The sequence below is a fragment of the Homo sapiens genome, chromosome 3, assembly GCF_000001405.40.
Source record: "Homo sapiens chromosome 3, GRCh38.p14 Primary Assembly".
Lineage (NCBI taxonomy): Eukaryota > Metazoa > Chordata > Mammalia > Primates > Hominidae > Homo > Homo sapiens.
In genome coordinates, this window is record NC_000003.12 from 142,817,874 (window position 1) to 142,831,296 (window position 13,423).

At 42.9% G+C, this 13,423-nt stretch overlaps 1 protein-coding gene and 1 pseudogene across 1 annotated transcript in view; both read right to left on the reverse strand.

Annotated features, from left to right (window-relative positions):
- Nucleotides 1–13,423, reverse strand: part of PCOLCE2 (procollagen C-endopeptidase enhancer 2) — a 71,210-nt gene continuing 57,787 nt past the window's right edge. The window contains exons 6-9 of the mRNA NM_013363.4: nt 11,819–11,973; nt 5,659–5,742; nt 3,005–3,172; nt 1–592 (exon numbers count right to left, since the gene is read on the reverse strand). Coding sequence (NP_037495.1) covers nt 462–592; nt 3,005–3,172; nt 5,659–5,742; nt 11,819–11,973 — 538 coding nt within the window. The 3' untranslated portion in view covers nt 1–461. The remainder of the gene's footprint in view (nt 593–3,004; nt 3,173–5,658; nt 5,743–11,818; nt 11,974–13,423) is intronic.
- RPL8P3 (ribosomal protein L8 pseudogene 3) lies at nt 9,188–9,855 on the reverse strand (annotated as a pseudogene).

Genomic DNA, 13,423 nt, shown 5'->3' on the forward strand with positions numbered 1-13,423 from the left:
TCCTTTAAAAATATTTTATTAAGCATTGATTTAGAAAACGCAAGACAAGATTGTAACACCTCAGGGCAAAGGCTTGAAGGTGAAACAAATAACACTATAAATATTGCACTTCTAAAATCTTTTTTTGACATCTTCACACAACTCAATTCTAAAATATCCTTTTACAGAGATGTATAAATAAACGCTTCCAAGCTGTCAACGCTTGACACTTTTAGCTTCCTATCACCGCACTAAGTCGGCAGGTTTCCAATCAGATAGCTGCTCCTCTGACAGCAGGCAAAGAACTTCCCTCAGCTATCTCGGAGGCCTCATACCTCCATCATGTGAAGAGTCAACCAGTCCCATCTTTCGGAATCCTCTTTCAGAATATGTAATTTTATAAGTATTTTTTTTTCTACTGAGAGAACATAGATCTTTCAAAGGCAATGGCAGAATACAGCTTAAATGGACACAGTTCACTGTTAACATTGCTTATTTTTTAAGGCATCCAGGAGCTTCTGATTCTTGGTCTTGAACATCATGATAAAGCTGTTTGGCATGATTTTGCCTCGCCCATCTTCACCTACTTGGCCCATAATAATGTAATTTAGACCTAAAGAAAGAGAATACAGAAATTAATCTTTTTCTCTATGTATCATGTGTGAAACAACTTAGACTGTAAGTTACCTCTAGATAAATGTTCTCTTCTGCAAATGGTAAGATTATACATGTATTCCATCCACGATAAAATCTGGGTTTCTTGTTTTTGCTTTTTAGAGATGGGGGTCTTGCCATGTTCCCCAGGCTGGTCTTAAACTACTGAACTTAAGCGATTCTCCTGCCTCAGACTCCAAAGTAGCTGGGACTACAGGCACACGCCATTGTGCCTGGATGATAAAATCTGTTTTAAGACTCTCATCGGCAAAAAGCCAAATTCAACTAGTAAGGTATTTCAGCTACGCTAACACCAGGAAGCTGGACTGAGTGGTTAGATCAGCCATGTCCCGCTCTGCAGTGCTGTAGGTCTGTTGTGGTTTCAAATGCCTGCTATGAAGAATGCACCGCGTTAACGTGAAAGACTCTCCTTCCTCGAGGGGCCTCCAGGGCTCCATGATGGGCCATCCTCAGATGGCTTCTCAGTCCCATCATGTGTCTGGATTTTCCTGGCATTTGGCAACCAATGATCCACTCTCTTATGTTGCTGTTGTCTTGAACTTTAATCAACATCTCAAACATGTATGCTACGCAAGCTTCTTGAGGGCATAGATGGATCATATACTACTTGCATTTGTACAGTTTCTTGCAAAACATCGGTGTCAAGAGTACTTATATTGGTTATACTATGTTTTTATACATTGGTGTGACTGGCTAAGTTAGGCCTAGACTGGGGCCTGAGGTGTTGGGTAACTCTGAATATTTATATTACCTCAGAAATAAATCAGAAAAAAAGGTATGGGTTAATTCCTCCTTTAGTTCCCCTTTCCCCTGGTGTGTCATAGAGAAAATGTGTCCTTTTTCTCTTGCATTTTCCTGTGTGGGTGGACCTTGTCATCACAGTGGTCTGTGAGAGCCTGAGAGTCTGGGCAGGTAATGCTGCCTCAAGGCTGAAGTGCTAGCAGCATTATGAGACCTTATAGAATCTTGAGGTGCAGTATCTGCTGCTCCTGGCAGTTCTGGAAAGAAATGTTTCTCTTTTACAGAGCCTTTGTGATTCTCTCCAGAGACTCAACATGAGGCTACTAGCCTCCTGACTTTTCTGAACAATCTGAATTCACAGTAAAGCTTGCTTTATTTTTAAATTTTTTTCTTTTTTTAGACAGTCTTGCTCTGCCACCCAGGCTGGAGTGCAGCAGTGTGATCATGACTCACTGCAGACTCGACCTCTTAGGTTCAAGGCATCCTCTTGCTTCAGCCTCACGAGTAGCTGGGACCACAGGTGCGCACCACCACACCCGGCTAAATTTTTTTATTTTTAGTAGAGCAGAGGTCTCACTATGTTGCCCAGGCTGGTCTCGAACTCAGGCTGAAGCAATCCTCCCATCTCAGCCTCCTAAAGTGCTGGGACAGTAAAGCTTTCTTGAAGTGGATATTCTGTATCTTTCTCTCTCTTTCTCTCTCTCTCTCTCTGTGTGTATGTGTGGAAAGATGTTAGAGCTTATGTAGGGGAAAAATTGCAGAACTTGTGTGTGATATGATTCCATAAGTGTATATGCCCATGCTTTATGTGGATAGAAACTTTCTGGAAGGAACTTAAATTTTTTTTTTTTTTATAGAAATAGGGTCTCACTACATCACCCAGCCTGATCTCGAACTTCTGGGCTCAAGCAATCCTCCCACCTCGGCCTCCCAAAGTGCTGGGATTACAGGCATGAGCTACTGTGTCTGGCTGGAAGGAACTTTTTAGAGTACTTCTAAGGAAAGGAAAAGGGTTTCACTTTTAAACATACTCTTACCTACTTATTTCAACTTTTTAAAAACCATGAAACATATGTTACTTTTATAAGTTGTTAAATACATATTCTTAAAAAGTCATGTGCCTCTAGCTCTGGAGTAACTTTCCGTTTTTCGTAATTTCTTTCAATAAACTCACTCCCATCCATGGACTTAATAGTCCTATCTCTGCAAATGATTCCCAGATCTTGATTCTAGCCCGGATATACCTCCCTCTTCTGAACTTCGGGTCTGCATTTCCTGTTGGCTGCTGGATATTTTTCTTTAAACCTAGACAGTACTGGCATCTTAAGTGCAATAGTCTAAAATCTCTCCACCCTGCACTGCTCTGTGTGTCTGTTGCCTATTGACTCAACTTCAAACGCTTCTTTCACTTGTTCATCATGTCCACTACCCCTTCTTCTGCCACAAGTTACAAGGACTTGGATGAGAGCCCAATTCTGCCTGACTCCAAAGGCCTTCCTGCTCTGCAAGAAGTGGGCAACATATTAGCCCTGATTTTACTTCCCTAGACCAACCATGGCATGGAAAATCCATGGCTTGCTCAGAGACACCCAGTTTTCTCCCTACTCACCTCTTCTGAGGAGAGGGCACTGCTTGCAGACGACAGTCAGCCTGGCACTCATGTTCTTGCCCGCCTGCTGAATCGCCAAATTTCCCTCTTTGTAGATGTTGATGATCGAGACTGTGGCGTGCAAACTCCCATCGCGAGTGATGGTTGTGATAACAGTGCCGGCTAATACTGCAGAAGAAAACATTTTGAAGTGATGTGACAGTGAAGGCAAATGCAAGCAGAACTGAAAAACAAGTTTACATTCTTCTAAGTTTCAGATACGAAACATTTTAATGTTAAAGAAAAGGCCCTCATAGAGGTTTCACATTTGCTTCTGTACATTTGTCACCAAAATTCAGGTTGGAGCTGTGATGTTACGCTGGTTGTTGGGGATTGATAACTAGAAGAGAAGCCTAAATACTTGCCACACTGCGGTCCATTGCCAAGGTTGAAACTCTTTAAAACGTTTTATCCAACTTGTGGCTTGATTGTCACATAGGGGATAGTCTGGCTTATGAGGCTCTACCTGTGAATACTCAAAAAGATCTTGTATCTTTAGAGGCAGTACCACGCTAAAAGATTGCGCGATGGGGGTTTGGGCCACTAAGATGTGAGTCTTTGTGTCGGTGTGGGTGTGTAGCCACCTTTCTGTGTCTCTCCTCACCCTTCTCTGTAGCTGTCCTTTCTTCCTGAACTTTTGTTCATTCCCTGGGTCCTCACCTCTGTCTAATTATCAGGAAAGCTCTGTCTTCTACGGTCTTTCATATTCTCTTTCTTATCCACTCCGTTTATTTCATTTAACAAGCTGAAGTATAGAACTGAGGTATTAACTTAAACTTTTTTTTTTCTTAAAAAAAAACCTCTAGTAAAATTCAGTTGATTTTTTCATTATGTAAACCCCTGTTTTTTCCATCATGACACTCCGAGAAAAGAGTCTCTCTTTGAAGCCACAGAAGGAAAGATGTTGTCTTTCTCACGGGGGTGCGCCTGGCATTCTGGGGGCTTGAGCAAGGACAGTTCCTTGTGGTGTAGGACTTGCACTGAATACAGTTTTTTTTTGTTGTTGTTGTTTTTTCATGAGATGGAGTTTCGCTCTTGTTGCCCAGGCTGGACTGCAGTGGCACAATCTCAGCTCACTGCAACCTCCACCTCCCAGGTTCAAGCAATTCTCCTGCCTCAGCCTCCCAAGTAGCTGGGATTACAGGCATGCACCACCACACCCAGCTAATTTTGTATTTTTAGTAGAGATGGGGTTTCTCCATGTTTGTCAGGCTGGTCTCGAACTCCCAACCTCAGGTGATCCACCTGCCTCGGCCTCCAAAGTACTGGGATTACAGGTGTGAGCCACTGAACCTGGCCTGAATACATTTTTTACCAGCCTTGTCCTTCCTAGAAAAATCAGTAGCAGTTCCTAGTTATTGTGACAACCAAAAAAATGCAGTAATCTAACATCTCTACCACTCCCCAGGGGAGCATTATCAGCCCTGGTTGAGAACCAGTGACTGATGATAGTTTTGGTCATTTTGCCATGTAAGCGGTCACATTAATGGAATAAATCAAGTTTTGGACTTGGTTAATCTGACTCCTTCAGAATAAAGTGAACACTCACTGCTTAGGCAGTGTGCAATGTTCATAAAATCAGAATTCCTATGATGCTTTACTTTGATCCTGCGTGATAAGTGTTCACTCCAAAATTCAGTCTATAGTCAAGTGAAATCAGTGGCTCCCAAGACACAGGGAGGGAGACTTCCTGAAGCACCTCCTACAGAAGAGTAAACTGGATGTGGTAGCAATTACATGTGGCGTTGTTTTCACATTTATGCCAGTTATTTGAATTTCAGCATGTGAACTCTAGTAAGGTTTAGGGTCCCAGAGTCTTCAGTGTCTTCACACCTTCACTATGATACAGCTCGTCTGGACTACAGAAGTCACTTCAAGGCACAGAAAAAGCAAGCAGAGCCTCTCTGGGGAAGTTTTGTTTGGGGAAATGTATTTAGGCCATAGCAACTTGCTCTTCCTGATCAGATTTGTCTTAAATGTTCCTTTAAAGCCACTGAAAAAATAACCAAGATAAAATGTTGTATCTTTTGCTCTTAAGTAGCTATCATAGATGGTGCAATCTTTCCACTGGAAAAAGCTCTTAAAAATTCTAAATCATTAAAGAACACCTCCTCAGGTTCCAGTTTGTGAGAGTTTCCAAATGGACTCCAGATTTCCAACTTTTACTTCAGTACCTCAGAAAGGCAGTACAGGGGAAATACTTGAATTTCTTCTGAGAGAGACCAGCTTCTGAATATAAGCTCGGGTATGTTTCTAATTTACTTAAGTTGAGTTATAGATGTGTGAAAAAATACTCTGTATATGAAAAATATATAAGGAAAAAAGTACATAGGTTTTTTGCAGGAATAGTCAGCCAGAACACACAATGTGGCAGTATCATGTACCAAGAGTCAAATTATTAAGCTTATATGAAAAAAGTATATTTTCTAAATCCATATTTTTCTCAGTGGTGAAATCTAACAATTTGACCATTCTGGTGTATAGGCAAGTATTTTCTTGGATAAATGAGCAGCGTTATTGACCCTTCACCATAAATTCATAGGAATTCCTTTGAGATTAAGCATGCAGCCTCAAGTTTCTGGTTAAAGAGAAAAAGACTGGCTTTTATTTCTTACCAAAGTCACTTGAACAATAATTGCCCTCCAGAGTCCCCGTCCGTCTACACTTTTGTTGACACAAGGCCACGGTGGGTTTTAAACCTTAATTCAAAGAAGACATAAGTTTCACGAAAAATGAATTCAAGCATAATTGGTCTTTAGTTCTGAATCTACCCATTTAAAATTATCATTTATTTCCCTGAGCCACCAATCTATCACTACAAAGAAAAAATTTAAAACCACGCAAAATAAATTCTCCATGCTACCAACTACTGCTCTAATTTCACCAGGACAACTCAATACCCTCTATTGAATTTTAAACCTGAGTTCAAAGATAGCACAAATGTAGCCCTGTTCTCTTCTTCCTTTATATAAAACAAACACTATAAGAAAATACAGGCGTACTCTGAGTGTGTGCCCTGTTTAGAAAAACCCAGAACAACAAATTGGAACTCACAGAATGTAGGTTAATCCCTCACTTTACAAAAGGAATCATAGGGTGTTCCCCTGAGGACATCCTTAAAATATGCAATTGCCTAAACATGAGTAGCATAGGTTTTTAGAAATACTGTTCATGTGTAAAGTGTGTTACATCTGTAATTAGATGCAACCCATCACTAAATATTTATTTTGAGCCTGGCACTGGCTATAAGAATCTTAAGAACTAAGAAGTAGACAAATTTAAAAGTATACCAAATAGACAAAACACAGCAGTTCTTAAGTACGGGTGACGTTGCCCCCAGCAGGCATTTGGCAATATCTAGAAACATTTCTGGTTATCACAACTAGAGGGTATTGCTAGCATCTAGTGGGTAGATGCCGAGACGCTGCTGACATCCCACAGAAAAAAGGACAGTCCCCGCAACACAGAAGGATCTGGCCCAAAATATAAATAGTGCTGAGGTAGAGAAACCCCGGGTTAACAACGTGAAAATAGTTCATCCTCATAATCATCTTAAGAATGTTTCAGAAATACTTGCTAATTATTTGTTTCTGTGTGACAATATGCTAGGAAGAACTAAACAGAACCACGGTAACAGAATTGCCCTTGTTGGGTGAATATCCACAGTTGTAATATTGCTCTTCCAACAGGCCCCACCAACTCCTCTGTTAATTTATTATTTATCTATTTATTTATTTTTGACATGGAGTCTCTCGCTCTGTCGCCCAGGCTGGAGTACAATGGTGTGATCTTGGCTCACTGCAAGCTCCACCTCCCGGGTTCAAGCAATTCTCCTGCCTCAGCCTCCTGAGTAGCTGGGACTACAGATGCCTGGCCAATTTTTGTATTTTTAGTAGAGATTTCATTTCGCCATGTTGGCCAGGCTGGTCTCAAACTCCTGACCTCAGGTGATTTGCCTGTCTCGGCCTCTGAAAGTGCTGGGATTACAGGTGTAAGCCACCGCGCCCAGCCTATTTATATACTCTTAATCTGTACCCCCTAGTTAACTCCAGAAAGAATCTGAAGCAGATGGCAATATTAAAACATATGTAATTTAATGTTAAAATACATATAATAGCTTAAATATGCATTTTTAAAAAAGGGAGAGAAAGAGCTCAGAAGATGTTTGGAAGGGAGAGACATACCATTGTTCCAGAAGTTGGGAACCTCACTTCAGCTGTAAATTTATGGAATTAAATTTACTCAGTTAACTGAGTCAAAAAGTTGTGGTGTGTCTGATGGTGAGCGCCCTTTCCCGGGCCCATTGGGAACCGGCTGCTTCTCAGCCTCCGAAGGTCAGTCTGGAAGTGGGGTGGGTGTCCAACATGCCCTTCTCCTGCTTTGGTGGGGCCTGCTGTCTGGCCTGCAAGTCACTGGCTCTCTCCTTCCCCTCCTCATCTTAACTGTCATCTGTCTCCTTGCCCTTCACTCACAAAGCTGGTCCCGGTTCTCAGCCCTCCCTGGCTGTGTTCCCGCGATCGTTTCTATGGGTCCACCCTCCCATGTCTGATCCCGCAGTCCCCGTGGCCTCATCTTCACCAGGGACTTTCCTAGACACTCAGTTCCAGGCTCGGATGTCTTCATGCTATGGCTGTTCATTGCCAGTCTATCAAATTTAGACCTGCTGGCAACCAGGACAGCGTTCTCCCCTCCAAGCTTATTTATTTAATCACTCTATGACTATGTTTTCTTCCATCTTTGATGGTTCAATATATTGGCTGCTCTCATTTTTCCCAACCCGTCAGCCCTGGCCTGTCTTTACTTCCTTAGCAATTCTATTTCATTTCCATGGTCCATTATTTCAATCATTTTCTACACAATGCCTTAAGGTCCCTTCCCCTCTGCCCTTCAGCCCTGTATGAATCTTCAGAGAAATCTGTTTTTCCTGTGCCTGCCCTCAGACAACTGAGTACACAAATGGGCCTTCAGCAGAGTGACAGGCTGGAGTTCAGCCTACTCTCCAATTTCTACAGCTGTTTTTCAAATTCTTTCTCATTCTCCTAACCTCCCGTGCTGCCACTCCCTTCTCCCTCTCAGAGGTGACCTTGCCTTTTTTTTTTTCTTTTTGAGACAGAGTCTCACTCTGTCGCCCAGGCTGGAGTGCAGTGGCGCGATGTCGGCTCACTGCAAACTCCGCATCCTGGGTCCACGCCATTCTCCTGCCTCAGCCTCCCGAGTAGCTGGGACTACAGGTGCCCACCACCACGCCCGGCTAATTTTTTTGTATTTTTTTAGTAGAGGCGGGGTTTCACCGTGTTAGCCAAGATGGTCTCGATCTCCTGACCTCATGATCCACCCGCCTCGGCCTCCCAAAGTTCTGGGATTACAGGTGTAAGCCACCGCACCTAGCCGACCCTGCCTATTTTCTAGGAAGAAGAGAAGCATAGCAGAAAATGTTCTCAAGATCCCCACCAAACCTCCAAGTCATCTTTATACCATCTCTCTTCTTTTCCTCCTCTGAGAGAGGGGTCACCCCCCTCCGACCTGAAGTCATGCCTTCTGTGAGTCCTCTGGAGCCAGCCCCTCTCACCTTTATAGAAACTTTCCTTCTCAGTTTATTCCTTCTGTCTGCCATTGCCTTCTTCTTTGCTAGTTACTCCCATCAACATAAGCAGGTTCAAGACTCTCAAAGCCTCTCCTTCTTCTTTAAGGCCAAACTTGGGGAATGAGCTACTGAACTTATTATCTCAATTTGCCATGCTCCACACTCCCCTCAGCACACACTGTCCGGGTTCTGCTGGCGGCACAAAGCCACTTACATAGATTGTGCTGGCGTCTCCAGTAGACTCCATGTCATGAAACCAAACGGAAACACTGTAGTCCTCCCTTATTGGAAGTCTCATCAACGCTTGACTCACTTACCACTCCCTTTTGTAACATTCCCTTCCACGGCTTTCACCACACATCCTCCCAGTTCTCCTCCCTCCTCCCTCGCCACTGCTTTTCAGTCACCTTTGCCAGTGTAACCTTCTCTTCAAAAAGACGGAAGTTTCTAGAGGGTTAATCTCCGCGCCTCTCCTCCTCCTGCCCTCAATCTCTGCCTAGGTCATCTCGTTCTTGATCATTGTTTCAACTATCTATATATTGATGACTCTTACTTTTTTTTGGCATAAAGACAAACTTTATTGAGCCCCTTAGCACTAGTTCTCTTTCTCCTGCACAGTCTTGGTTCCCCAGAGACGTCCAGTCTGGCGGGCAGCAATGAGACCCATTTTGCAGCCAGCAGGGTCATCTCTGAGATGGCGGAGGGGATGCCGATGTGCTGGTGGTTGCCACCTCCAAAAGGATGCTCCATAGGGTTCATGGCCACATCCCATACTCGTGGCCACCAGTTCCTCTTTGCCTTATATTTGTGGTAGGCTTGGCAAGCCTTCAAGATGGGTTTGTCAGTTCGGCCACCTCCAGCCACCACACCAACCACAGCTCTGTTGGCTGAGGAGACAACCTTCTTGGAGCCAGAGGGCAGCTTCACACGGGTCTTCTTGGTCTCAGGGTTGTGGGAGATAGCAGTGGCATAGTTCCCTGATGCCCAGGACAGCTTGCTACGGCCTCCAGGCTTCTCCTCCAGGCAGCACACGATCATACCCTCAGGCATGGTGCCCACAGGGAGCACACTGCCAATGTTGAGCTGGGCCTTCTTGCCGCAATACACAAACTGGCCCGTGTGAATGCCCTCGGCAGCAATGAAAAGCTCCGTCCGCTTCTTAAACCAGTACGGGTCGCGGAAGACCACCTTGGGGAGGGGCGCGCTGTGACCCGAGTTGTGGATGATGGGTGACTCTTAAATTTAAATCTGGCTTAAATCTTTTAGTCTGGGGACCCGTGTACCCCTACGCATGGCATATCCACTGGAAAATCTCACGGACACCTCAAACCCAACAAGGCGACAGCCTAATTTATAAATCCACCTCCGAATCCAGTTCTCTACCTCTGTGAACAGTGGCAGTATCCCCCTAGCTGTGCAAGCCCGGGACCTGGGAGGCATTCCTGACACCTACCTCCCTGACCTCCCTAGTCCAATGAATCACCAAGGCCTGTCACTGTTTCCCTCTCATCTCTTGACTCTCTCTGAATTTGTGCCATAGCACAGTTCGCCTGGACCAGCACGAGACTCTGGTGACCCCCTGGATTTCTACAATTCATTCACCTGACAGTGGCCACAGTGATCTTTGTAAAATGTGAAACTAATCCTGAACTTTGCTTAAACCCATCAACAGCTTCCCCCACACATAGGATAAACACAAAAATACTTAGAGCATAGGAGAGAGTTTGCAAGGCCTGAAGACGAAACTAGAAAGAGAGGCTGGGGACAAAGTGTGAAGGGTCTGACACACCACGGGAAGGGGTTTGGGCTCCCATGTGGTCCAATCTGGTAGTCACTAGTCACATGAAGCTTTTCAATTTTAAATTCATTAACATTAAATTAAAAGTTCAGTTCCTCAATATCATTAGCCACATTTTAAGTGCTCACAGTGGCTGCCATATTGGATAGCATAGCTGTAGACTATAAATTTAATGGGAGAACAACACAGTCTACTCGGTGTGGTGGGAGCGGGGTAGGGCATGAGGTCAGGAGAAAAGATAGAGGATATCAAAGATGACCCTATGAGTGCGGCTACCGATGCTGTGGACGTGCTTGGGAAAATAGGTGGAGAAGTAGGTCTGAGGCAGAAAATAGTGTGATAAAAACAAGTTTGTATATGCTTTCATTTAAATAGCTACAGTCACATTGTGTCCAGGAAAGAATTACAAATCCATGCTTGCGATTTCAGAGAAAGTTGAGGATGGAGATAAAAGCAAGGGAACCACTAGCTCAATGGGTGTGACCAGATAATTCACTGGAAAGAACATGGACACCAAGGCTTACTGAGCTGAGCTGGAGAAATACAGCAGTTACATGAGGCAGTACACGTCCACACCACACAGTGGCGCACTTGCAGAGTGCAAGGAAACGTTAGACCCAGAGGCGCCTGCCTGTACTCAGCCCCAGCCTAGGTGTACATGGAAAATGTGGGCAATAAAGCTGGGCTTATTTCAGCCTATTTTACATCTTAACCTTCAGTCTTTCCTTCCCGCTTTTCCCCCTCCTCCCTGGGTTTGGATTTTTAGATCTGAGGCCTGAAATCCCAGGGGGTGGAGCTGATAGGCCAGGTACTACCTACAGAGACCCTGCCTCTCCACTCCCTACATACATGCCTCAGCCCCCCAGGCCAGTTTCCCAACCAGCCTCTGTACTTCGTTGAATATTGTTGTTTAATTTACTCCGATTTGAAAATAAATAAATAAATAAATAAATAACATTTTATATGACATTTCGCTGAGAAGCAAAAAAAAAAACCAAAAACAAACATTGGCAGAATATGAAAACACAGATAGCAAGGCCCTAGAACTTCAACCTAAAATATCACAATTCTATGTAATAAAAAGCAAACGACAAGTTTGTCAGTTCCAGAAACAGAAACTTAGTCTTAGAATGATCTGTGCTTCTAATAGGCTTCCTAGTCATTGTTCAATGGTCATAATTTTCTTACCTGATATTTAAAAACTATTAGCTTACAAGCATTCTTACACCCCATACCTTTCTTTCATTAATGCAGTCATATTATTCTCTTACCAAAGCTTTCATCCTATTTAACTTTAATTTCAAGTATCTTCCTCTTATTTTTTTTCTACTTTAAAAGAATTCTTCTTATACTCCTAAAGTTTTTGCACAAACTTCCAAACAGGAAAACTTACCCGTGGTTACAGGGAATGTGGTGGTGACAGGCTGTTCTGTAGTTGTAGGCAGTTTTTTTGGCCTGAATATGTAGTGACCAATAAACCCATCTGCAGTTAAACTTAAGTCTGATAAAAACTGAATAAGAAGTTCATTTCTCTCAGACACAATTGGCCTAAAAAAAGAAAAATGTGTTTTTTTATAAATACTTAAAAGTGGTGCCTCTCTGAAAATGTAAAATTTTCTAGTTTTCCATTAACTTCCGACAATAGATTACCAGTTGTTTAAACTTAAAAGTTAAAACGTTTAAAAATACCAATTCTAATAGCTAACATTTACCGAGTGTTTGCTCAGCTAGGCACTGTGCTTTATGTGAATTGTCACATTCCACCTTCACAACAACCCTATTTTTATCTCTTTTTTTATGGAAAAGGCAATTGAAGTTCAGAGAGTTCAAGTGATTTACTCAAGGCCCTATAGCTAGTATGTTGGGAGAGTCAGAACTTGAACCCAGGACCAGATAACTCTAGAGACTGTGGCAGACGTTGGGACATGGCTGGTTTTCAAAAAGCACCTCATGATTTGCCTGATTGGGAAAAGGCAGATTCTCTGAACTAAGACTTGCGTTCAAGCTGGCCTGGGTTTGCCATGTTGGCTACAGAGCATAAAATGGACAAATCTGGTGAACAAATTCCCACGCCCTGTAAAGATGCAGCCAGAGGGATTATCTCAGTGGACTGATTATCTTTTCTATCCACTCCGGGCTAAGAAAGCCATGCAAAGGACTTCCATTTCATTTTCAATGGCAGTTCTTCGGTATGTCTGAAATGGAAACATTTCTATTATAATCTCCATTAGCAAAATGCTGTAAAGGAAAAAAAAGAAAGTGATGAATCTGTTTTGGTGTTCATGAATGGCATCATTGATTAAGAGCTCTAATTTTAGGAGCTTCCTGGTTAGCTGGCACTAAAGATTTAGTGGAGATGGTAAGTGAGGCTCAAAAGCTCTCTAAAATCTTAGGGGATTACTATATTACACAAGATAGTTTCATTTAAGTTTTGCTATTGTTATTTACACAATGGTTAAAAAAATGCTGTCTGATTAATTCTGTTTAAAAACTAATTCAGAAGTAGAAAAAATTTAACAAGTTATTTAAATGAATTAACCAGTGGTCTGACTGAACACCTTTTTGAGACATCTTCTCAGCCAATCACTTCTTACACATCATGGACACCAAATAATGAAGCAGCATTTTTTTCCCCCTACTGTCAGCTGTGCTGAGTGGGGTTGGGTGGCAGAGAGGGTAGATCTACCTGACCCAACCAGTTAGAAAAACTGCGTGATCTTTTCCGTCCTGAATATAACCTTCTGAGCCAGGGGATGAGATGAATCAAAAAGTGAGCTTTGTGATCTACATTTACAGTTTACTATGGGTTGAATATTTATCCCCTCCAAAACTCATGTTGAAATTTAATGCCCAGTGGGGCAGTATTGAGAAATGGAACCTTTAAGAGGTGATTGGGTCATGAGGGCTCTGCCCTCAGGAATGGATTCATCCATTCACAGATTAATGGATAAGTGGGTTAATGGATTAATGGGCAATCACGGGAGTGGGACTGATGGCT